The sequence below is a fragment of the Homo sapiens genome, chromosome 21 (assembly GCF_000001405.40).
Source record: "Homo sapiens chromosome 21, GRCh38.p14 Primary Assembly".
NCBI lineage: Eukaryota > Metazoa > Chordata > Mammalia > Primates > Hominidae > Homo > Homo sapiens.
The window spans coordinates 32,290,437-32,316,089 of NC_000021.9; the positions used below are offsets into that span (position 1 = coordinate 32,290,437).

Consider the following 25,653-nt stretch of genomic DNA (forward strand, 5'->3'; position numbering starts at 1 on the left):
AACCACAAATTGGGTTCAGTGTACACTGCTCAAGTGACAGGTGCACCAAAATCTCACAAATCACCACTAAATAACTTACTCATGTAAGCAAATACCACCTGTTCCCCAAAAACCTATGGAAATAAAAAGTTTTTGAAAAAAAGAACAAAAATAATAAATTCTTCCAAAGACAAAAAAGAATTGATATTGCTATTCTGGGGTCGTTTGTGTGTACGTTGTATATTGAGTAATTATGTTAGTCTTGTTGGGAATATAATTTTAAGTTTTGGAGAAAGAGATACAGCTAAGAAAGATAAGGTTAAGTAAAAACTCCATGCTTGTGATTTTGAAGTGGAAGCATCAGTATGAACTCATGCTATTTTTTATCTCAAAAAATAAATATTTTCTAGCTCTCTACATTGAATTGGTCTAAACATTATAACCAACCCAGTAGCAACAAGCACCCCTATCATCTAGACCATGATAGCTAAATACCATTTTCTACTAAGAACTGGGATTCCTTGGAGAAATGACTGAATTCAAGGTTCGCGGGGGTATCCAATCTTTTGGCTTCCCTGGGCCACACTGGAAGAAGAATAATTGTCTTGGGCCACACATAAAATACACAAATAGTAACAATAGCTGATGAGCTTTAAAAAAAATGCAAAAGAATCTCATAATGTTTTAAGAAAGTTTATGAATTTGTATTGAGCCACACTCAAAGCCATCCTGGGCCACATGTGGCCTATGGCAAGCTTGTTCTAGGACAAGAAATGTACAAAATGTACATAGATTTAAGTTCAAAAATGCATTTTATATATATATATTTCTGAGACAGAGTCTCACTCCATTACCCAGTCTGGAGTGTAGTGGCATGATCTTGGCTCACTGCAACCTTCACCTCTTGGGTTCAAGCCGATTCTCCTGCCTCAGCCTCCTGAGTAGTTGAGACTGACTACAGGTGTGCACAACCATGCTTGACTAATTTTTGTATTATTTTAGTAGAGACGGGGTTTCACCCTGTTGGTCAGGCTGGTCTTGAACTTCTGGCCTCAAGTGATCCTTCTGCCTCGGCCTCCCAAATTGCTGGGATTACAGGCATGAGCCACCGTGCCCAGCCTCAGAAATGCATAATTTTTTTAAGCTTCTTATTATTTACTGTTGGAAGACGCTAGGCAGGGATAAATAGGTGCAGCATAAAAGACTTTCAGGGCAGTGAAACTACTTTGTATGATACGATAATGGTGGATACATGTTATTATACATTTTCCCAAACCCGTAGAATGTACAACAACAGTGAACCCTAATGTAAACTATGGACTCTGGGTGATAATGATGTGTCATTGTCATTGTTGGTTCATCAGTTGTAACAAATGTACCACTCTGAGGCAGCAGGTGGATAATGGGGAGGCTATGCAGGTGTGTGGGCTGGAGGTATATAGAAAATCTGCCCCTTTTTCTCAATTTTGCTATGAATATAAAACCGCTCTTTAAAAAAAAAGGTTTATTAGAAAGAGAGAGAGTAAGAATAGGAAAGAGAAGATACCTGTAAATTTAACAAGACTTCAGAGACACATCTCCCATCAAGCAATTGCAACACATGGCCCTTACTTGCTCCCAATTTGAGCAAATTAACTGTAAAAAAATTATGAGACAAATAAGGAAAATGTGAGCATTGACTAGATAGTTGATTCAATTAAATAATATTCAGGTGGGATAATATGGTTTTGTTTAAAAAAAAAAGCCCTCCTGCAGAGATACATAGAGAAATATTTGCAGATGAAATGATATATTTTGAATTTGCTTCACAGTAATCCAGGGTTGGAGACGTGGGTAGGGTTACAGATGAAACTAAATTGGCCTTGGCCATGATTTGATAAAAACTGTTCAAGTTGAGTGATGGTTACATGTGAATTAATTATGCTTTCTCACTGCTTTTGCAAATGTTGAAATTATCTATGATAAAAATTGAGTTTTTATCAAAGTTATGCAAATTTTGCATGTACTCTGATATACACCTATGTTTGTTTCAGTATTAAAATGTAACTTTTTTTCCTTTGAGATGGAGTCTTGCTCTGTCGTCCAGGTTGGAATACAGTGGCGTGATCTTGGCTCACTGCAAGCTTCTCCTCTTGGGCTCAAGCGATTCTCTTGCCTCAGCCTCCTGAGTAGCTGGGATTACAGGTGTGCACCACCACGCCTGACTGATTTTTGTATTTTTAGTAGAGACAGGGTTTCACCATGTTGGCCAGGCTGGTCTCGAACTCCTGACCTCAGGTAATTCACCTGCCTTTGCCTCCCAAATTGCAGGTAATTCACCTGCATTTGCCTCCCAAATGTTGGCTCCCAATGGCTGGGCATGGTGTGAGCCACCATGCCCAGCCATTAAAATGTAACTTTTATAGCAAAAATCTTTAATAAAAACATGGACACTCCAGAAAGAAGTGTGTTTATTTTGAGGATTTATATTCCCAGGATGTGACATTGTTTGCCCAGTGCAGAGGCTGATTAATGGCCCCCAAAAATATCTACATTCTAGTCCCCTAAGCCTGTGCATTTTACTTTATGTGGCAAAAGGGACTTTGCAGATGTGATTAAGGATTGTGAGATGGAAAAATTATCCTTGATTACCTGCACGGACCCAGTATAATCACAACTGTCCTTATAAGAAGAGGAGCTTTGGAAGAAGAGAGAGTTGACTACGGAAGAGGGAAAAGGTGATGTGATAATGAAAGCAGGGGAGGACGGCAGTGTGGTGGGGGCCATGAACCAAGGAATGAGGACAGCCCCCCGAAGCTGGAAAGGGCAAGGAAACAGATTCTCTCCTGGGGCCTCCAGAAGGAACCAGTCCTGGCAACACCTTGTTTGAGTCCCATAAGACTCATTACAGGCTACTGGCCTCCAGAACTGTAAGGCAAAAAAAAAATAGAAATTGACATAAGGTAAGACACCAAATCTATGTTGTTTTAAGTCACCAAGTTTCTAGTAACATGTTGCAGCAGCCATAGCACACTAATGCACCCAGGTTGCAAATCTCAGGGGTACTGGAAACAGCAGGGCCTGGAGACGGCTGTATCTGGCTGTATCCAGCTCTTTGCCTGGAAAATGAGGTCCCACCACCTGAGACCATAGTATTGTGAGAATTGCCTAAAGCACCTCGTCCAGGTCATCGTTCAATAAACGTTTGTGCCGTCTCCCTCTCTAGATTTCTCCCTTCTACCTTTCTCTCCACACTCAATCTGTAGTTGTGATGATCACTAATGTAATAGAAAACATCCTAGAAAAAAGAACTTCACCTTCAAGACTTGGGTTACAAATTAAAGGGAGAAGAAAAACAATGCTAACAGTCAAGGACTTTGAGGTATTTGTTAATATAAGTATGTCATTATTATCTTAGAGTTAACCTTGACAGCAGTGTCACTTCTTACTAATGTCAAAGGGGCAACATTTTTTTAAATTGTTTTTCTACTAGGGGACTTGCATGGATCTTTTTTTTTTTTCTAGTCAGTCTCTGCTTATCCATCATGGATATTTTAAAATCCAGATTATTATCAGACAAATAAATTCAACTTAATAATCAGTATTTTGTCAGACAGAAGTAAAAATTCCAAACTAATAAAATTATGCTCAACTGGAAAATGTAGGAAGGTCTTTTTAATTTTATCCATTCTGTAGAGGTATCTACTGGTTTTGTTTTTTGTTGTTTGCTTGTTTTTTGAGACAGAGTCTTACTCAGTTGCCCAGGCTGGAGTGCAGTGGTGCAATCTCGGCTCACTGCAAGCTCCACCTCCTGGGTTTACACCATTCTCCTGCCTCAGCCTCCCGAGTAGCTGGGACTACAGGCGCCTGCCACCACACCTGGCTAATTTTTTTGTATTTTTAGTAGAGAAGGGGTTTCGCCATTTTAGCCAGGATGGTCTCGATCTCCTGACCTTGTGACCCACCCGCCTCAGCCTCCCAAAGTGCTGGGATTACAGGCATGAGCCGCCGCACCCGGACAGGTGTCTCCTGATTTTAATTGCATCTCCCTGATGACTAATGACTTGGAGCACTTTTTGATGTGCGTATTGGCTATTCACATATCTTTCTTTATAAAGTATCTGTTCAAGTCTATGGCCAGTTTTTTAATTGGGTTATCTGTCTTTTTATTATTGATGTATATACTCTTGGTATAAATTCCTTAGTAGATATATAATTTTTAACTTTCTTTCCAGTATGTGGCTTGCCTATTCATTTTCTTAGTAATCACTTTCGATAAACAAATGTTTTAAATTTCAGCTGAATGTAATTTATCAATATGTCCATTTCTACAGTTTGTAAAGCTGCTGGGATGATGATTGGGATTGCAGGGAACACGATCAATTTGGGGCCATTTAACATCTTAATAATACTGAATTTTTCAAACCATAAGCTGGTATCTCTCTCCATATTTTAGGTCTTATTTCGTCTCTCTCAGTAACATTTTGCAGGTTTTACTCTTGCATATCTTTTGTTAATTTTATTCCTATGTGTTTTATAATTTTTGACACTAACAGAAAACATTTATGATAGTATCAAAAAAGCATTAATTACACTTAAAAATAATGTGTATTCTGCAACTGTTGAATATAGTATTCTATCCAAGGCAACTAGATCTAGATGATGGATAGTGGTATCACTACTGGCAGCAAATTCATACGGGTCTGCAGCAACCTCAATTCTTGCCTCCTCAGAAGGAAGAATTCAACTAAGGGGCATAAGACAGGAAAAGCGCCTGAAGCAAGTTTTAGAACAGGAGTGAACGCTTATTAGAAAGCTTTAGAGCAGGAACGAAAGGAAGTAAAGTACACATGGAAGGGGGCCAAGCGGGCAACTGGCGAGATCAAGTGCACAACTGGGCCTTTTGTCTTTGGGCTTTATATGTGGGCATACTTCTGGGGACTTGCATTCCTTCTCCCCTGATTCCTCCCTGGGGGTGGGCTGTCCACATGCCATGCTTGAGCCCACTCGCCCAACTCCTGAGATCCTATCAGGAAGCTGATGACCAGTTTTAGGTGTTTTCTATCTATTGGGATTCTGCCTTTTCTTGGCGCCGCCTGTGACCAATTATTACTTTAGAGAGATAGTTAACAACAGCCTAACCATCACTTGATGTTTGCCCGACACTCCTGGTGTATGTGTAGGGGGAGCCCTCTCCTGCCTTGCTCATACCTGACTAGCTACCCATTATAACAGTATTAGTCTGCTTGGTCTGCCCAACTAGCCCAAAGTCCCAGAGTAGGTGTCTTAACAGAAATATGGCCAGGAGTGGTGGTTCATGCCTGTAATCCCAGCACTTTGAGAGGCCGAGGCAGGCGGATCTCCTGAGATCAGGAGTTCGAGACCAGCCTGGCCAACATGGTGAAACCCCATCTCTACCAAAAATACAAAAGTTAGCCAGACGTGGTGGCACCTGCCTGTAATCTCAACTACTTGGGAGGCTGAGGCAGGAGAATTACTTGAACTCAGGAGGCAGAGGTTGGAGTAAGCCAAGATCACGCCACTGCACTCCAGCCTGGACAACAGAGCAAGACTCCATCTCAAAAAACAAAACAAAACAAAACAAAAAACAAAAACACAGAAATGTATTTCCTCACAATTCTGGAGGCTGGAAGTCCAAGATCAAGGTATAAGTGGGCCTGGTTTCGTTCTGAGGCCCCTTGCAATTGTCAATGGCCATCTCCTCCCTGTGTCTTCACATCATCTTCTTTCTGTGCCTCGGTGGTATCCCAACCTCCTCTTCTTATGAAGACACCAGTCATCTTGGATTAGAACCCATTGTCATGGCTTTTTAACCTAATTATCTCCTTAAAGATCCTATCTCCAAATACAGTCACATTCTGAGATACTGGGGGTGAAGGCTTCAACTTAGGAATTTGGGGGAGCACAATTCAGCCCAGAATAGTGTTATTTGCACAGTGTTGTACACACCTGGGAGACATGTGTACAGCAGTGTACACAGAAACATCTGGAAGTACACAGGTGGGTGCATGGTGTGGGGGATGTCTTTGTGATATTTTGATATAAGAAACATGTAGAGTCATGTGTCACTTCACAACGGGGTTACATTGTGATAATTGCATCGCTAGGTGATTTCGTTATTGTGTGAACATCAGAGAGTCTACTTACACGAATCTAGAGGGCACAGCCTACCACACACCTCGGCTGAACGGCCTAGCCTATTGTCTCCAAGGCTATAAACCTATTGTTACTATGCTGAATACTGTAGGCAATTATAACACAATGGTAAGGATTTATGATAGTATTATGATATTATTAGTGTTAGATATAAACATATCTAAACATACAAAAAGTACAGTAAAAATACACTATAAAAGATTTTTTTAAAAATAGTACATCTGTATAGGGCCCTTACCATGAATGAAGCCTCCAGGCCTGGAAGTTGCCCTGCATGAGGCAGGGAGTGGTGAGTGAATGCGAAGGCCTAGGACATTACTGGACACTACTGTAGACTTTATAAGCACCACACTTAGCCTATACTAAATTTATTTATAAAATAAAGTAAATGTGCAATGATGTTATGTTGGCTACGGTGTCACTAGTGATAGGAATTTTTCAGCTCCATTATAATCTTATGTGACCACTGTTCTATATGGAGCTGGTCATTGATGGAAGCATTATTAGTCAGCATTTGACTGTATTTGATCTTTGTCCCTGGTAGCACAGAACTCATAAAACTTGCAATATCTGAGTAATGGGGTAAGAGAAGCATCTTCTGTTAATCAGCATAAGCCACTTTCAACTCTACCTGAGTTTATGCCAATGAGGTGGGGGCTAGTTGTCAGAGGAACCAACCATATATTAGAGGGTTGCAATGTTCACTCCCACCCTGGAAAGGGGAGAGAGGCTGGGGATTGAGTTCATTCACTGATAGCCAGTGATTTCATCAATGGTGCCCACATAATGGAATATAATAATCATCTAGATGGCATAGCACATGATAAAACCCTACAAAAACCCTCCTCAAGGGGCTTCAGAGAACTTCCAAGTTGGTGAACACATTGAGGTGCTGGGAGGGTGTGCACCTGGATCAGGCGTGGAAAAATCCGTGCCCTTTCCCACACCCTGCCCCATGTGTCTCTTCCACGTGGCTGTTCCTGAGTTGTATTCTTTTATGACAAACCAGTCATCTAGTAAGTGAACTGTTTGACCTGAGTTCTGTGTGTGAGCCATTCTAGCAAATGACATAGTGTCAGGATTGAGTTACATTGTAGGACACCCAGCGAGTGTCTACCAAGAATAGGAAATTGCTTGGTATGGAAAAGCCCACAAGTCTGGCGTCAGAAATGTACGGTGTAGCGGGAGCAGAGGTTTTATTTTACTTTTCAAGTAGATATTTTGCCCCTCACTTGGGAAACACAAGAGCCTCATTCCTCCCCTTCTGGTCAACTGAACTACCCTCAAAGTGCTCCCCAAGGAATGCCTCAGGCGTGGCAGGCCTCAGCAAAACCAGCGGAGGGGCTCAAGTTATCTGGGTGGACTGTCTACACTGTCAATACCCAGGTTTACTCTGATACTGTAGACCTGAATCAAGAACACAAGAAAGCTGGGCGTATTGGAGGGAAAGGCCATGTAAGCCGTGTGTTTTGGCCTCCTAATTCTCAAAGGCTAAATTCTAGGGTTCCTCTCACCTGTGGTCCTGCTCATTCCAGATGTTCAGAATGTTCCTCTTGTTAGTGTCTGAGGATCTCAGAGGAGGGTGTATAATTTGGAGTCAAGCTCTACAGAAACCCAGAAGAATCTGCGTCACGTGTGGTATCAGCCAAGAGCTGAGTGGACTCTATTTCCCAAGAGCTTGGACCACATGGGGTTGTGTCAGAGATAAACAGCCTTTTGAGTCTGAACAAATGCAGCCGGCTGGTTGGTTCTTGGGGGGCTTAGATATAAGTGGAGAGGTGCACTCTGTTGGGGCAGGGGGCTCTCTTTTGGTTTTAATTAACTGGCTATGAGTACATGACAGAGGTTTACAAGTTCACGGCTGGCATCACTCGATTTCTGCCCTCAGATATTGAATCTAAGCCAGCAGTTTGGTGGTTGCTCAATAGCATCCAGAATTGCTTAAATGTAAGTCAAGGGCACTGTCGGGCTTACATTTTGGTTCTTTTAACTTTTCAAGTATTTAAGACAAAAAGCGATTGTCTTTCCAGCCCTATTGGGCATCTTCTAAGGGGCCCTGGGCGACTATTTCCCGCCCAGCTCCCTGTCCTCACACAGAGAGGGATCCTAGGGCTGCCCTGGAAAGCCGTTCTCCTGCCTCTCTGCTCTGTGTGCTTTGGAGTTTTATCAAGAAGGGGCAGATGGGAAGCTCTGCTGGATGCTGGCGTTGTGAGACACACCCCCCTGACCTTTCTTCCAGCCAAATAGCTCTGATAAGTGGGCAGACCTTGAGCCTAGAGACCCACAGACACACTTGGACGATTCCTGCAGAAATCAGTGAGGCAGTCTCCTCCCAGGGGCTTGGCGCCTGGCTCGAGGCGAGGCTGCCGGCCCGGACGCTGACTGCCCAGTGCCACAGACATGGCCAACGGGACCAACGCCTCTGCCCCATACTACAGCTATGAATACTACCTGGACTATCTGGACCTCATTCCCGTGGACGAGAAGAAGCTGAAAGCCCACAAACGTAAGTCTGAACTAGGGAAGCCGGTCAGACAGAGGCTGGGGGCCGGGGCCCAAATGACTGGGCACTCCCGGCTTTCTCTGCATTCACTTATTAACTCCGGTAGACATCATGGGAAAGCAGGAATGTGGCCAGTTCACTCATAGATATAAATGAATGGGGCTGGGAGAGAAACTGTATTTGCTAACTTCTGTAATAAGCTTGGAATTAACCTGCTAAGTCACGAAGACACTTTGGAAGCAGAATTTTTATTTTTTACTTTATTTTATTTTATTTTGGAGATAGGGTCTAGCTCTGTTGCCTAGGCTGGAGTGCAGTGGCGTGACCATAGCTCACTGCAACCTCGACTGCCCTGGGTCAAGTAATCCTCCTACCTCAGCCTCCCAAGTAACTGAGACTATGGGCACATGCTACCACGCCTGGTTAATTTTGTGTATTTTTTTATAGAGACATGTTATATTGCCCAGGCTGGTCTGGAACTCCTGGCCTCAAGTGATCCCCCAATCTCGGCTTCCCAAAGTGCTGGGATTACAGGTGTGAGCCACCGTGCCTGGCGAGAATATTCTTTTAAAGATAGATTTCTTGTTTAATTTGTTTGGGGCTCCAATAAGCTGAGCGAGTTTCCTCAAATTAAAGATTTGCCTTTTCCACTGTCTGTATTTAGATTTGGGACAGTTATTCTCTCCATCCCTAAAATGCAGATTTAATGATTTTTACTAAAATGCCAACATACGTTTAATCTTCATAGTCTCAGCAAGGACAAACCAGCATGACTTCACTTCTTTTTGCTCATCTGCCCTCGGGTTCCTTATCTCTTGGCTAACGTGGCATGTGTGGACAATCTTCTCTGAGGAGTCCAGCTACTTGATCACAATGACAAATTAGATGCGGAAGTGAGCATGAGAAACAAAACAAAAACAAAGCCTGGGAAGATTGGGTCTCAGCCCTGGAAACCCATGCGCTACCTATCCCGTAGGAAGTCTTAGCTTCCTTGGGTTTTCACTCACTATAATCACATACTGTCTGTCAAACAGTAAATGCAGGGCTGGGTGCAATTGCTCACGCCTGTAATCCCACCAACTAGAGAGGATCACTTGAGGCCAGGAGTTCGAGGCCAGCCTGGGCAACACAGTGAGATCCCATCTCCACACACACACAGAAAAAGTAAACGCAGACCAGGCATGGTGGCTCATGCCTGTAATCCCAGCACTTTGGGATTACGTCGTATGTCAGATGCGTCATGTGTCATGCATCCTATGTCAGGGGCGTCACGCGTCCTATGTCAGATGTCACACATCCTATGTCAGGGGCGTCACGCATCCTATGTCGGATGCATCACGCGTCCTGCGTCGGATGCGTCATGCGTCCTATGTCAGATGTTTCACACGTCTTATGTCAGGGGCGCCATGCGTCCTATGTCGGATGTGTCACGCATCCTATGTCACGTCATGCGTCGCATGTCAGATGCGTCACGTGTCCTATGTCAGATGTTTCACACGTCATGTCAGGGGCGTCACACGTCCTATGTCGGATATGTCACGCGTCGTATGTCAGATGCGTCACACGTCCTATGCCGGGGGCGTCACACGTCCTATGTCGGATGTGTCACGCGTCCTATGTCAGGGGCGTCATGCGTCCTATGTCGGGGCGTCATTCGTCCTATGTCAGTGTGTCGTGCGTCCTATGTCAGGGGCGTCATGCCTCCTATGTCGGATGTGTCATGCATCCTATGTCAGGGGCGTCATGTGTCCTATGTCGGATATGTCATGCGCCCTATGTCAGGGGCGTCATGCGTCCTATGTCGGGTGTCATGCATCCTATGTCGGGGCGTCATGTGTCTATGTGTCATGATATATCGTGTATGTCATATCAATGATATATCATGATTTCAAAGATGTATCATATTTCATATATCATGATATATGATATGATGATATATCGCATATGTATCAGATATATCAAATATATCATATGATATATATCATATCATATATCCATATATATCATGATATATCGTATATGATATCATATATCATATGATATATGATGGCTAATTTCTTTGTATTTTTAGTAGAGACGTGGTTTCACCGTGTTAGCCAGGATGGTCTCGATCTCCTGACCTTGTGATCCACCTGCCTCACCTTCCCAAAGTGCTGGGATTACAGGCGTGAGCCACCACGCCTGGCCCAATTAGGATGGATTGTAAAATGTTTGTGCTTATGCTCTGATGTGTGATGTGTGGGTTAGCACCATGCCCTTGGTGCTTTCTCATGATAGTGAGTGAGTTATTAGGAAATCTGGTTGTTTAAATGTGTGTGCCATCTCCTCTTTCTTCCTCTTGCTCTGGCCATGGAAAGTGCTGGCTCCCCCTTTGCCTTCTGCCATAATCGTAAGTTTCCTGAGGTCTCCCCAGAAGCAGAAGCTGCCATGCCTGTTTCCTGAGGCCCTGCCTGAATTGACTAATTACATGTTTGATCTTCATCTGTGCCCTTTTCCGAGGCTAAGCTTAGAAGAAAATCAATCTTACAGCAGCAATACAGATTATTCTAACATAGTGAGTCTCCAGATACCAGCCTAATGCTCCCTTTCAGAGAGTAGGATGGGCTGATTTCCCTTGAGTAGTGCCTGGCTTAATGCTCTATTATTTACCTCTCAGGTCAATATATCTGCTTCCCTTTAGTTATGGGTTAAGAAGAACTGGTCATAGTCCATATTGACCTCTGCTGTCATGGTGGTTCAATGAGACAGTCTGTTCCTCTGCTTCTCTGAGCACAGGACGCAAGAGAACAAAATGACACTGTCAACCAATTTCTCTGCACACAATGTAGAAAATTCAAAGTATAGATTAAACAAAACGACTACATAAAACTCTTTTTCTCTCATTCAGAGCAATCATATTCAGGGCATGACATAAGTAGTGAAAGTAATTTTTAAACAAAGATAACAGAATGTGTATCTGTAAATGAATTTCCATCAAGGTAGCACCAGGGGCAGGTGCAACACTTGAATGACTCTACTGTTGCTCAACAACTTCTTGAACTGATGTTGTTGGGTGGCCACAAAACATTCTAGCAAACATCTGTGGTGATAAATTGTGTATATCTTTTGAGGATGAATTTTCTTTTTGGAAATAGTTAAGACTGACCCAGAAAAAAGTCAGGTTAATGAAATGGGTGATTAAGCTGGTTGATACCATCTGGATGTCATAAATAAACTATCTCACAACATAGCAAAATTGTGTCTATGTGTGAGTCCTTGAAGGTAATTCCAAAAGAAGAGACCTGTAAGTATTTGATGAATATATGTGTTTTAGTAAGAATTCTATGACTCCATGGTAGAGAGAGGATGATTATTTTGAAGGTCACCTTTCATTTGGATTTTTAAGTTCTGGTACATTCATTGAGAAAGTCCGTTTCTTTGCTGACTTGGTAAAGAAAATGGATTACAACTAACAGAGTACCAGATAAAACAGAAGTTAGTTTATCTCAGTCTACAGGACTGGGCTAGTGAGGTGGCTCCATGGAGTCCTTAGGAACTCACATCCTTCTAGCTCATTGCACTACCATCCCTGGGACATGGCTGCCCTCATCCTCAGGTTGCAAGCCATGCTCTGACCATCACATCCGTGTTCACGGAGCAACATGGAGTAAGGGAATAAGAACGGACACACGGTGCTAGAAGTCTAGTAACCCCTGGAGGGAGGCTCCTAGAAGCTGTCCTGTGATGGCTCCACTCATATCTCATTGGCCAGAACCTTGTCACATTGTTCTCTGAAAAGGAGGCAAGGAAACATAGTCTTTAACTCAGGCAGCCAAGTGTCCTGCTAAAAGCAAAGGTTCTATCACGACGGAAGCACACAAGGGCTGACCTTAGAGTTGACAGTAGTAACCTATGCCCCAATTCCCTTTTTTTTTTTTTTTTTTGAGATGGAGTCTCACTCTATCACCCAGGCTGGAGTGCAGTGACTCAATCTCGGCTCACTGCAACCTCTGCCTCCCAAGTTCAAGCTATTCTTCTGCCTCAGCCTCCCAAGTAGCTGGGATTACAGGTATGTGCCACCATATCTGACTAATTTTATTTTGTATTTTTAGTAGAGACGGGGTTTCACCATGTTGGCCAGGCTGGTCTCGAACTCCTGACCTTAGGTGATCCACCCACCTTGGCCTCCCAAAGTGCTGGGATTACAGGCTGAGGCACCATGCCCAACCACATCTTGATTTTCTGCTGGAACTCTGGAACCCAAACGTTAGTAGAATGAAGAATGGAGGAATGCTAAAACTGTTTATTTAACAAAACAGAAGTGTCTACTATAAGAATGAACCCTTAGATTGGATTAATTTGTTAACTCCAAGTTAGGATAAGAATCCTCCCAAGATGAAGTGCAGCCTGGCCATGCCATCCAGAACCATTCCTGTCACTCCGCTGCTGAGGACTAATTCCCCTCATTCCACCAGTGTGGACCCAGAGGGGAAGGAGAGAAAGGAAGGAGGGAAGAGAGGAGAGAGGGAAGGAAAGGAGGAAAGAACAGGCAGGGAGGAGAAGGGAGGATAGGAGAGAGGAAAGGAGATAAGTTTCTATGGCTGGACCACTTTCATTGTCAACCCAGCCTGGGGCTCCCTGTTGGGAAAACCAGCCTAGGGATGTCTAACTATTTCTGACACTGGAGAGTCACACAGCTCTTGCTTTTGGAATGAAATGTTCTCTCCAAGCACTTGGGTGAACCTTCAGAAGGAAGAGGAAAAAGAATGATATTCTCTTGCCTATTTTTTTTCAACAGAACATGATGAAGGAGATTTTAGTAAAGAAAATGACTATTGGCTGACGATTGCCTTTTGGTCTGACAAAACTTAAACTCCACTTATATGAAGACACTGCGTTCTGTGAAACCTGTCATCTTATTTCTTGCTCAATATCTGGGGATGACGATAAGGACTCAGACAAGTGTCAGTCTGGGAGAAAGGGGCTCTCAGGTGCTGAGTTTGAAGCTGTTCCCTTAGATCCCTGGTAGAATTTATGTAGGTGCTATAAGACCTCAAACCCTGCACTATTTTTAGGAAGGAAAAAGAGCATTAGTGTCCGCAGAAACCTAAAATATCCCTACAGAATAAAACTTCCAATCCCATTTTCTGACAGCATATGCACTCTTTTACTGTAAGGGTTGTAAAATAGATTGTAACTCTTCGGGAGTGTAGGACAATGCACAGGGGGTGGGCAAGGAAGGCTAAGAGAGTCAGAGGCTTCTTTCAAAAATCCTTAAGCTGGCTGGGTGCGGTGACTCACGCCTGTAACCCCAGCACTTTGGGAGGCCGAGGCAGGTGGATCATGAGGTCAGGAGATCAAGACCATCCTGCCCAACATGGTGAAACCCCATCTGTACTAGAAATACAAAAATTAGCTGGATGTGGTGGTGGGCACCTGTAATCCCAGCTACTCGGGAGGCTGAGGCGGGAGAACGACTTGAACCCGGCAGGCGGAGGTTGCAGTGAGCCGAGATTGTGCCACTGCACTCCAGCCTGGTGACAGATTAAGACTCTGTCTCAAACAAAAAAAAACAAACAAAAAACAAAACAAAACAAACAAACAAACAAAACAAACCAAAAAAACTCCTTTTAAGCTTAGGACACACAGTTCAACCTCATTTCCCTTTCCCCAGGAATCCAGAGGTGCTCTTAAACAGTTCCCTGCTCTAGGGGACTGCGTCAGTTTCTCAGCTCGGAGACAGACAGGAGAGACATGAGAGCCAGCCTGGGGGTCTTTGCTGTCCCTGCCCCCGTGGAGTGTAAATGCCAAGTTGCTGATGAATTACAAGGCAATGGATGCTCATGATTCTTTCGCCAATACTGTGCCTTTTCATTATACCCTGTTTTGAGGGGGATTTGTTTTTTTTGTTGTTTTTTTTTTTTTTTTTTTTTTTTTGAGACAGCATCTTGCTCTGTGGCCCAGGCTGGAGCACACTGGCGTGATCGTAGCTCACTTCAGCCTTGAACTCCTGGCCTCAAGTGATCCTCCGACCCCAGCCTCATGAAGGGGTAGGACTATGGGCATTACCGTGCCCAGGTAATCAAAAAAATTTTTTTTTAGACATGGGGTCTTGCTATGTTGTCCAGGCTGGTCTCGAACTCCTGGACTCGAGTGATCCACCTCCCACCTTGGCCTCCCAAAGTGTTGGGATTATAGGCATGGGCCACTGTGCCCAGCCCATTATACCCTGTTTTTAATGTTACATTTTAGGGTCCAAGATCAACTCTTATGAGTCCTCAGTTTTTCCTGCTATCTCTCAGGGGTCGTAGATGGCAGAGATGACATCCTTTACTCAAATACCAATCTTCACCCCAGAGCCTCCACCTCTGCCTCTATGTAGATTACTCTCACTTTATTCATTCTTTCAGTGGTTTGCACGTTCTCTCATTCATTTACTCACAGTGTTAGTGCTGGAAGCACTGCAGAAGTTCAGAGGAGGAGGAGGTTGGGGGTGGAACATTGTGGGTGAATGAGGGGAGTTAGCAATTTCTAATGTGCTGGTTTAGCCCCCTCTGAATCCTGAACAGTCCCTCGCAAAAGGCGCTCAATGAATTCTCGTTAGGTTATCATCCTCTAATAGCGCCTTTTGGTCACACACATAGGCGTCTAGAATATCTCAGCTTGTGACATCTTGGCATTACGCAGTTGGTCTGGGATAAGACACTTGCAGACCCTAATTACGAGCCGGATTGCCCACAGCCACAGACAACCACCAAGAAAAACTGTCGTGCTAGAAAGTAGTTCCATAGCAACTGGCCTAACATTCCCAAACTGGAGCCTGGAGAAGGAAAAAGGCCCCTCCTGGCCAGCCAGGTTCTACCCAGGGCCCCAGGGGGGCTAAGTGTGTTTCCTGGTTTCCCTTTCCCCCTTCAGCCTCAGGCCACAAATACAGCCATCATGCTGGTAGCAAAAGTGCTTTTTCCTTCCTGCCACAGCCCCTGAGATGAGACTTCCTGCCTGAGAGAGGGACTCGCTATTTCCACCTTGCCGATCCAGGCATGAGCAGACCTAGGCTAACTCCCGTAGAGCAGAAAGGGCCTCCCCACCGGAGCGCTGTAGCCCAGCGCACATCCTCCGCAGGGTATCAACTCCTGGGGTCTCTGAAGCTGTTCCACCAACGGCCCCTGGTAGGCGCTGCATCCCTCCCGGGGGCCCAGGAGTCCTTCCTAACACACAGAGCTGCCCACAGCCCTCTCCTCTCCCTCCCATCCTTCAGGACTGTTCCTCTGAGCACCACTAGGAGCCGGGCAAGCAGATGCATGGGGTGGGGGGGCACACAATTCCATTCAGTGTTTCCTCTTAACAATCACCCTAAACAGACCCCGTGGCCAGCTGCCCTGAGGAAAAAGACACTTCTTGGCTCCCCTGTTCTTTCCCAAAGTTATTGTTAATGGGAGATCTTCCCCATGGTAACAGCTGAGAGGCTGGAGGACAACCGAAACTCAGGGCCCTCATTCCACAATACCCTGGGACTCCTTACTGCCCCTCAGCGTTGCTTTATGTTGACATAACCCAGCGCTGAGATGCATCTCCTCCTCCCGCAGATTCCATCGTGATCGCATTCTGGGTGAGCCTGGCTGCCTTCGTGGTGCTGCTCTTCCTCATCTTGCTCTACATGTCCTGGTCCGCCTCCCCGCAGATGAGGTGGGTAAGAAGGGGTGTGAGTCTGTGGGTCACTCAGACGCTCTCCAGTGAGTAACAGTGCAGGTTGAGTATCCCTCATCCAAAATGCTGGAGACCAGAAGTGTTTCAGATTTGGGATTTAAAAATATTTGCATTGTACCTACCAGCTGAGCATCTCAAATCCAAAAATCCGAAATATTCCAGCGAGCATTTCCTTTGAGCCTCATGTCAGTGCTCAGTATGTTGCAGATTTTGCAGCGTTTCAGATTTTCGGGTTTGGGATGCTCAACCTACGTCCCTACAATGGAATAGTATTCAGCAATAAAAAGGGATGGAGTTCTGATCCATGCTGCAACATGCATGAACCTCAAAAACATCATGCTAAGTGAAAGAAGACAGACACAGAGCTGCATGTTGTATGACTCCATTCACACAAAACATCCAGAGTAGGCAAATCAAATTCTGTAGAGACAGAAAGCAGATTAGCAGCTGCCTAGGTCTGGGGGGAGAGCGGGGAAGGGGGAATGACTACTGATGGGTTTCTTTTGGGGATGATAAAAATGTTCTAAAATTAAGCTGGGCGTGGTGGCTCACGCCTGTAATCCCAGCACTTTGGGAGGCTGAGATGGGTGGATCACTTGAGGTCAGGAGTTCAAGTTACCAGCCTAGCCAACTTGGTGAAACCCTGTCTCTACTAAAAATACAAAAATTAGCCGGGCGTGGTGGCACGCACTTGTAATCCCAGCTACTCAGGAGGCTGAGGCAGGAGAATTGCTGGAACCCAGGTGGCGGAGGTTGCAGTGAGCCGAGACTGTGCCACTACACTCCAGTCTGGGCAACAGAGTGAGACTCCGTCTCAAAAAAAAAAAAAAAAAAGAAGTTCTAAAATTAAGCCAGGCCCAGTAGCTCACACCTGCTGTAATCCCAGCACCTTGGGAAGCCAAGGCAGGAGGATCGCTTGAGCCCAGGGGTTCGAGACCCTATCTCCATAAAAAATAACAAAAAGTTAGCTGGGCATGGTAGTGCGCACCTGTAGTCCCGGCTACTCAGGAGGCTGAGGCAGGAGGATCACTAGAGCCCAGCAGGTCAAGGCTGCAGTGAGCTGTGATTGCGCCACTGCACTCTAGCCTGGGTGATAGAACAAGACCCTGTCTCAACAAACAAACAAAAAGTTCTAAAATTAGATTATGGTGATGGTTGCACAACTCTATGGATGTACTGAAGACCACTGAAATTGTACTCTTTAAATGAGTCAACCTCATGGAATGAAAATATATCTCACTAAAGCTGTTAAAGAAAATGAAGCCAACTTGACACCATGGGCATTAAGTCTTGCCGGCCAGCTCACCAGGAACATAAGAACCTTACCTTTGGCCAGGTGTGGGGGCTCACACCTGTAATCCCCGCACTTTGGGAGGCCAAGGTGGGCGGATCACCTGAGATCAGGCCTTTGAGACCAGACTGGCCAACATGGTGAAACCCCATCTCTACTGAAAATATTTTTAAAAAATCAGCCAGGTGTGGTGGTGTATGCCTGTAATCCCAGCTACTCGTGAGGCCAAGCAGGAGAATCGCTTGAACGCAGGAGGCAGAGGTTGCAGTGAACCGAGATTGCACCACTGCACTCCAGCCTGGGCAAGAAGAGAGAAACTCTGTCTCCAAAAAGAAAAAAAAAAGAAAAAAGAAAAAGAAAGATCCTTACCTTAGGCACCTATGGCCAGCATCTGTTCTCAGATGCCTGCTGTGTGCCACTAAATTGGAGGTGAAATCCAGGAGTTTTAAGGAGTAATTGGAACCCACCTTGTTTTATGTTAATTCTGTTGTGCTAGAGGATTGGCTGACACATCCAATGTTCCCTTCTAGGCTAATCAGCCCTCACAGCTGCTGCTCTCCTAATGACTGTTCTTAGGAGGGACCCTATATTTTGCCATCGCTCACCCGAAGAGGGCCTGTCCAGTGGCTGGCCCATGCCCTTGGAAACGTGTGCCCTGGCAAAAGAGCTGGGACTGGTCAGATTCTCATCTTTGGAATTTGGAATCTAGAACCTGAGGGATGGACCTGGTGGCTATGGGGGCTGCACTGATTGGTCCAGGAGGAGGACTAGGGCTGGGTGCCATTATAGACCATTATGTCCATTACGGACGGAAGTCTTGGGGACTGGAAACCCTAAGCGTAGGAAGCTGGTCAGCAGAGAGATGAGCCAAACTGTGCTGAGGAAGAGCTGAGTGGCCTTGGAGCCCCTGAGCCAGTGCGTCCCATGCCAGGTCCCGTGAAGAGCCGTGGACTCGCGCATTGGCACAGCGTCTTAGTGTTTTCTGTTGCTGTAACAGAATACCTGAGGCTGAGTAATTTATGAAGAAAAGAGGCTTATTTAGCTCATGGTTCTGAAGGCTTAGAAGTCTAGGAAGCATGGCACCGACATCTGCTTAGCTTCTGGTGAGGGCCTCATTTTGTAAAAAGATCTAATTCAGTCTAGAGAAAAAAAAAACTCATTACCTCTTAAAGGTCCCAGCTCCCAGTGTTGCCACACTGGGGACCAGGTCTCCACGAGTTTTGGTGGGGACAAACCATACCACAGCCCAACATTACCTTGAAGGGGCCTCTGATTCTCCTCCCCGCCCCTGCCTGCCCTGCCCGTGGTGTCTCACCCACCAGGGCTACACTCGCCAGGCCATTTCCGCTCACCTTTGGTCACATATGGAAGGTAGCTTTAGAGCAATGAAGAAATTCATTTTTTTTTTTTTGTTTTTGAGACAAGAATCTCGCTGTGTCACCCAGGCTGGAGTGCAGTGGCGTGATCTCGGCTCACTGCAACCTCCACCTCCCAAGTTCAAGCTATTCTCTTGCCTCAGCCTCCCGAGTAGCTGGGATTACAGGCACCCGCCACGACGCACAGCTAATTTTTGTATTTTTAGTAGAGACAGGGTTTTGCCAAGTTGGCCAGGCCAGTCTCAAACTCCAGACCTGTAATCCTAGCACTTTGAGAGGCCGAGGTGGGTGGATCACCTGGGGTCAGGAGTTCGAGACTGGCCTGGCCAGCTTGGCGAAACCCTGTCTCTATTAAAAATACAAAAATTAGCTGGGCATCGTGGCCGGTGCCTGTAATCCCAGCTACTCGGGAGGCTGAGGCAAGAGAATCGCTTGAACCTGGGAGGCAGAGGTTGCAGTTAGCCGAGATGGCATCACTGAGGTCAGGAGCCACTGTGCACAGCCTGAAATCTGTTCTTTTCTTTCAGTTTTTAGAACTCACATTCAATTTAAGCACATTTTTATACCCAAGACACATCTGAGGGATAAACGAGTGATGTCACCTTTCTTTACTACTCTTCTGAGATGACCTGCAGCCGCCCTATGCCAGGGAAGGTGCAAAGATCCCTGGTCTGGTCCGGCAAGCCCAGGGGCTGCCTCCACCACGCCCAGCTCCCTGGGGGGCACAGGCCTTCTGGGCTATTTCACAGGGGCAAACTGATGACACTATACATCCTGACCAGCTACATGGCTTACTAAAGAAAATGCTCTCAAGGCACTTGGTAACATTCCTGGAATGCTCAGGGCGGCAAAGTGGATCCTCAGCAAGATTTAGGAGTCATTCCCTGAGGAGCTGACACCTTCCCATGATGGGGGGGGGAGGGGAGGAGGGAGGTGGGGAGAGCATTCTTAGGCGAGTGCCATCTGAAAGCATGGCCTCTGCCCAGTGGGTTCATCACTTGGTACTCTTCATTTGTGCCAGCGCTGTAACCACATTTAAGTCGTTTTATACATCATCTCATTTCATCCTGAGGATATCTGTGAGCCAATATTGTCCCATTTTATGGATGACGTTAAAGGCAGCTGGGAAGTGGTGGCCAGAGCTCACTCCAGATGGCCATGTCCACTGCCCCAGCACTTCCCGGGCAGGAGAATCCACCCAGGGAGGACACATTTCTTTTTTTTTTCTTTTTTTTTTTGAGACTGAGTCTTGCTCTGTTGCCAGGCTGGGGTGCAGTGGCGCAATCTTGGCTCGCTGCAACTTCCGACTCCTTGGTTCAAGTGATTCTCCTGCCTCAGCCTCCTGAGTAGCTGGGATTACAGGCGCCCACCACCACACCCAGCTAATTTTTGTATTTTCAGTAGAGACGGGGTTTCCCTATGTTGGCCAGGATTGTCTCGATCTCCTGACCTCATGATCCACCTGCCTCTGCCTCCCAAAGTGCTAGGATTACAGGTGTGAACCTCCATGCTTGGCACAGGGAGGATGCATCTCTAGCCAAGTGTTTTAGTTTGTTCTCGGCTGCTAAGAAAGACATATCCGAGGCTGGATAATTTATAAAGGAAAGAGGTTTAATGGACTCACAGTTTCACATGGCGGGGGAGGCTTCACAGTCATGGCAGAAGGCAAAGGAAGAGCAAAGCCACATCTTACATGACACAGGCAAAAGGGCATGTGCAGGGAAACTCCCCTTTATAAAACCATCAGATCTCATGAGACTTACTATCACGAGAACAGCATGGGAAGACCCGCCCCCATGATTCAATTACCTCCCACTGGGTCCTTCCCACGACACGTGGGGATTATTACAATTCAAGGTGAGATTTGTGTCGTGACGCAGCCAAACCATATCACCAAGATACAAGTTGGCTTGGGCTATGGATATAAAATGAACTACACTCAGATACAGCGCTGGATGGGAGGTCAACCTGCTCCCCTCCACCCCCCACCCCCCCCATCCTAAATCAATGTAGGAAGAAGTGGCCTCCAGGGAAAGACCTGAGGCCTAGTTCCTGACAAAGCACTTCCTCTCCTCTGAGATTTCTCTAGAATGGCCACCTTTGTGAGCTGGCTGACCCTTCTCAGGAATTTGCCTGTGTGGCCTTCCCTATGGGGTCCGGGCAGATGGCAGGTGTGGCAGGAAACCCCCCAGCCCCACAGTATGGACTGTTCTGCAGCAACTATGATGCCTGCCTCCCACTCTGCTCTGTTCACAGGAACAGCCCCAAGCACCACCAAACATGCCCCTGGAGTCACGGCCTCAACCTCCACCTCTGCATCCAGAAGTGCCTGCCGTGCCACAGGGAACCCCTGGCAACCTCACAGGCTCAGGCGAGCTCAGTGGAGCCAGGGAGCAGAACTGGCCCTGACCAGCCGCTACGACAGGAGAGCTCCTCCACCTTGCCCCTCGGGGGTTTCCAGACCCACCCCACTCTCCTCTGGGAACTGACCCTCAATGGGGGTCCCCTCGTCAGGAGCAAGCCCAGCGAGCCTCCCCCTGGAGACAGGACCTCTCAATTGCAGAGCTGATGTCAGTAAATCGTGGCCATAGCTGAGTGAACTGGTGAAATCAAGCCAACCTGGACACATACGTTCCTCGTTCTTCTTAGAGGCCATTTGCATGTAGCAGAAAGGGCACCTAGGTCAAGTGCAACTAGAGCAGGAGCATCCTATGCCTTTGACAAAGATTGCAGTGGCCCCTCGAGTGCAGAGGTCATCCCAGGTGTTGCTGAGTTTATTGAGCACACCTAGCCTGCTTGCTTACTGCTTATATTTGCTCAGGGAAGAGTAGGAAAATAAAATATATGCAAATCAAGAGGAAAAGCTGTTTGCTTACTAATCTTTACTATGCCACTTTACCATTACTGTGTAATGCGTTATCAGCCCTGAGTTCACCTGGTCCTTCTGTACCTTTGTTAGGATGCTGGGTAAGTTCCCATCCAAGCTCCACTAACACCCGCCGGCTCCCCCAGATGTGATGGCATCTGCCCTGCCAGGTCAGCTCACTGCAGTCTGGGGACCTGAGTTGCACCTTCAACCTCCCCACAGCCTTTCAAAGACAGAGCCCAAGAAAGTGTCTCCCCTGGAGGGCAGGCAGCCAACGCCTGTCAGCAGCCAGGCCGGGTAAGCAGGATCTATGCCCAAATGCTGTCACAGAACACAAAGAGCCCTGGAAGCTGGCAGGAAAGGTCTTCTGGATGTGACTTTATGTGACAGTGGATCTGGGACCCTTGAAAGATCTAGTCCTCTAGTGCCCAGCAGCCTTGTCCCTGGAGAGGAGACAGCATCACACAGCAAATCTCAGAAGACCCATATGTCCCCTACAGCTTTCAGGCAAGGAGGGAGTTGATAGGTTTTATTTTTAAAATAACTGTGCCCCCCGCCCCACTTAAGATATTTCTAATTTAGCATTTTATATTTTAAGTCAGGTGAAGACCATGTTCGATCTATTCTCCATGGGATGAGATTCCCTTCCTCCACACTAAGTGACTGGAAAATACACGAACAAGGTCAGGGCAGTGGATTTAAAAGGGAGAACAAAGAAAAGCAAGACTGATGAGCTCCAGAGATGCAGAAAAGAAGGTGAGGTGCTGAAAATGTGTCCTCACTTGACTGAGCTGGAACTCGGCTTTGGAGCATTTGTCGCCACCTGACGTAGTATGTATTGACTTGCTGGGCCCTAAGAACCTGGGAGGCAGCTTAGGCCTGGAGCCAGGGATGAAGCCGTGGAAATCCACCCCACCTGCTCGCTGCCCCTCCCTGTGCCCCCAGAGGCATGGGGTTCAGGGATATTCCCCAGACCAATGTCCTTCCGGCCAATGCCCCCTGCATAAACAAGCAGAGGTGCCTATAACCAAAGGAATCCCCAAAGATAGGCCTTGGAGAGGTGGATAAAGATTAAGGGGAACCAGGAAGAGAACGCTTTGTTGGAGCAGCGCTTGCCTGAGTCCAGCTTGGATCTAAACGTGGGATTTCAAGTTCAGGATAGTCTCAAAGAATAGCGTTGTAAGGTTTATTTGGGTAGGGAAGGGGACAAGTGAGGTAACTGATCCTTGCTTTGTAGACAGTGCAAGACAATTATTTGTGGTGAAGGGACTGTATGCCAACAAACGTTACTCATGCTTTAGTTAAAACTTTAAGTCACCTAAAACAGAAACAATTCTAAAGAACACTGGTGGAAAATAGAAGTGTAAATGTTTCAGACAAAACCAAGGCATTGTCAGCACGATGTACATTATACGGCAGATAAAACAGCCACATCCTAGGCCACAGAGCAGATCCCAAGAGCCCCAGGCATGCAGGAGAGTTTTAAAGGAACAGACGGAAATTTTAACTGTGAAAACCACGAAATTTCATGACTTTTGTCAGCTACAACCCCAACTAATATATGACCATTAAGAGTAAAATTCTGACCTTTAAAATAAATGCAGGCCTATGTGGAGCAAAAATAGCCTCTTGACAACAATGAAAGGAAAACACAAAAACCTTACAAAAATAGACATTAACAAGCATTTATAAAATTCAAAATCCCCTCTTTGAAGTATAGCTTTAAAAATTACAGGCTGTCTTCTCAAAGCAGAGGTCAAATCACTTTTATTCTTTAAGGATTCAGTGTAACATCCTTTTCTTTAATAAAATAATTAAACACTGGCAGAAATTAACTTATTCAAAAAGTCATACTAATACTTTGTTATGACTTTTTATAGAAAAACAAACTTTATTTTTTTATTTTTTTGAGATGGAGTCTTGCTCTGTCACCTAGGCTGGAGCGCAATGGCACGATCTCAGCTCACTGTAGCCTCCACCTCCCAGGTTCAAGCGATTCCCCTGCCTTAGCCTCCCGAGTAGCTGGAATTACAGGTGTGCGCTACCATGCCTGGCTAATTTTTGTATTTTTAGTAGAGATGGGGTTTCACCATGTTGGGAAGGCTGGTTTCGAACTCCTGACCTCAGGTGATTCACCCGCCTTGGCCTCCCAAAGTGCTGGGATTATAGGCGTGAGCCACCTCACCTGCTGAAAAATAAACTTTAAACATCTCTCTTCGTTTTCATAAAAAAAATCTGATACCTTTTGACATTTCAGCTTTAACACAGATGAATCTCTTCTGCATTCAGAAGTGCTGCCTCAAACTCGAGCTATTTCCTGTGATGAGCTCCAAGCCCCTAGAGAGGAAGGGGCGGCCTGACGAGGCACTGGATGGGCCTCATGGCCTAGAAGTCCCCACATTCCTTGCAACTCTGATGCTGGGCACCTACAGGCCCGAGTTTATCATTTACTGGGCAGTTCAATAAAGTCCTCTCAACTTTTCTTGTCAAAGAACTGAGCCAATGTACTGAACCTGTTGTTTCCCATGCCTTCTCTGGAAACCCTTGACTCAACCAAACTTCTAGAAGCTGGTGCTGTGCTCGAGGCTCTGGTCATCAGGGTGCAAGGTGCTGGCCGGCAGGAGTCAAGCATCTGAGGCTGCGCTGGCGGCGTCCTTGCAGAGCACCACGATGGCCTCCTCTTCACTGCTCGGGGCATCATCTGCGGCCTCACACACCATCCGGACGTGGGTTAAGAGGGTGTCCGGCCGCTGAGCCCCCAGCCAGATGTCCTTTATGTAGAGAGACACTAGGAATGCTGCGGAGGCTGAACAAGAGCAGGGGATAGGCCATTAGGATGCACACCTGCTCAGCTCGAAAACAGGTCATCCTGCCCACAATGCAACGGCTTTGCCAAGTGCCCAAATGAACCGTGCCACAGGCCTGGGCAACCCAAGGTGAGCACACCGATACAACAACTCACTCTGCCTTTGCTTAACTTTTGTGTTAATCTTTTTTATTATTAAAAAGTTTCTTTTCTTTAAAAAAAAAAAAAAAAAAAGACAGGGTCTCACTCTGTCACCCAGACTGGAGTGCAGTAGTGTGATCTCAGCTCACTACAGCCTCAACTGCCTGGGCTCAGGTGATCCTCCCACCTCAGCCTCCAGAGTAGCTGGGACTACAGGCATGTGCCACCACGCCCGGCTAATTTTTGTAGAGACAGGGTTTCACTATGTTGCCCAGGCTGGTCTCAAGCAATCTCCCCACCTCAGCCTCCCAAAATGCTAGGATTATAGGTGTGAGCCACTGTGCCTGGCAGAAATTTATCTTTCTTCTGATGAATATGTGTGGATCCCCTCAAAAAGCTGTTACAAGACAAGTCTCTTCCTGGTTCTGACCATCCATGCCAAGAATGACAATGAAATTTGAGAAGAACTTCCCAGAATCATTTCCTACCATTTCCTCAGTGGCATGGGTGAGGAGGAGGAGAAAGCTTGCAGGCAAAAAGGCTCAATTCCCCAACTGCGGCCAGACCAGAGGGCAAGGTCACCCTGCTACCAGGTGAGCCTACCCGATAGGCTGCCAGCCCCTCCCTCCCCTGGGCCCCCACATTCCTCTGTGAAAGGACAGACCTCTGGGTTACCACACCCACCTCCCTGGAGCTCTAACGGCCCCCTGGAGCTTGTGCTACTCACTCATTCACACTGCTAGGCTCCTAGTGACTGCCAAGTACATAAACTGTTCATGTGCGCATTTATACGCATGTGAAGCTCTATGTGCACACACACGCGCATGCACATGCACATGCGCACACATG

At 46.2% G+C, this 25,653-nt stretch overlaps 2 protein-coding genes and 2 long non-coding RNA genes across 7 annotated transcripts in view, besides 1 other annotated feature; 1 reads left to right on the forward strand and 3 right to left on the reverse strand.

Annotated features, from left to right (window-relative positions):
- On the forward strand, positions 1,377–24,348 carry MRAP (melanocortin 2 receptor accessory protein). Of its 4 annotated transcripts, none has more exons than NM_206898.2 (5): positions 1,377–1,413; positions 2,557–2,696; positions 8,526–8,641; positions 16,204–16,303; positions 24,115–24,348. In NM_206898.2, the coding sequence occupies exons 3-5, from the start codon at positions 8,536–8,538 to the stop codon at positions 24,215–24,217; spliced, it is 309 nt and encodes a 102-aa protein (NP_996781.1). In that variant the 5' UTR covers positions 1,377–1,413; positions 2,557–2,696; positions 8,526–8,535; the 3' UTR covers positions 24,218–24,348. The 4 variants fall into 4 exon arrangements, with proteins under 4 accessions (NP_996781.1, NP_848932.1, NP_001272323.1 ...); NM_178817.4 differs by lacking the exon at positions 24,115–24,348 and adding an exon at positions 21,248–21,854; NM_001285394.2 differs by lacking the exons at positions 8,526–8,641; positions 24,115–24,348 and adding an exon at positions 21,248–21,854.
- LOC124905009 (uncharacterized) lies at positions 1,469–8,334 on the reverse strand. Its single transcript, XR_007067843.1, has 2 exons — positions 7,650–8,334; positions 1,469–1,614 (listed from the first exon to the last, which is right to left on the reverse strand). It is a non-coding gene; the product is annotated as an uncharacterized LOC124905009 (long non-coding RNA).
- Positions 16,022–16,316: a silencer, noted in NCBI's record as "tiled region #333; HepG2 Repressive non-DNase unmatched - State 23:Low, and K562 Repressive non-DNase unmatched - State 18:Pol2". NCBI's record gives its function as "represses a minimal TATA promoter and a strong SV40 promoter by Sharpr-MPRA in HepG2 and K562 cells {active_cell/tissue: HepG2 | K562}" and the evidence as "EXISTENCE:reporter gene assay evidence [ECO:0000049][PMID:27701403]".
- On the reverse strand, positions 16,028–18,299 carry MRAP-AS1 (MRAP antisense RNA 1). Its single transcript, NR_187556.1, has 2 exons — positions 18,083–18,299; positions 16,028–16,390 (listed from the first exon to the last, which is right to left on the reverse strand). It is a non-coding gene; the product is annotated as an MRAP antisense RNA 1 (long non-coding RNA).
- The window catches only part of URB1 (URB1 ribosome biogenesis factor), an 81,995-nt gene continuing 76,923 nt past the window's right edge, over positions 20,582–25,653 (reverse strand). The window contains exon 39 of the mRNA NM_014825.3: positions 20,582–24,663. Coding sequence (NP_055640.2) covers positions 24,482–24,663 — 182 coding nt within the window. The 3' untranslated portion in view covers positions 20,582–24,481. The remainder of the gene's footprint in view (positions 24,664–25,653) is intronic.

Coding starts and splice junctions, on each gene's coding strand:
- MRAP (NM_178817.4), top strand. CDS start 8,536: ATGGCCAACGGGACCAACGCCTCTGCCCCATACTACAGCTATGAATAC. Junction 8,642..16,203: donor GAAGCTGAAAGCCCACAAAC/GTAAGTCTGAAC, acceptor CTCCTCCCGCAG/ATTCCATCGTGATCGCATTC. Junction 16,304..21,247: donor TCCGCCTCCCCGCAGATGAG/GTGGGTAAGAAG, acceptor CTCTGTTCACAG/GAACAGCCCCAAGCACCACC.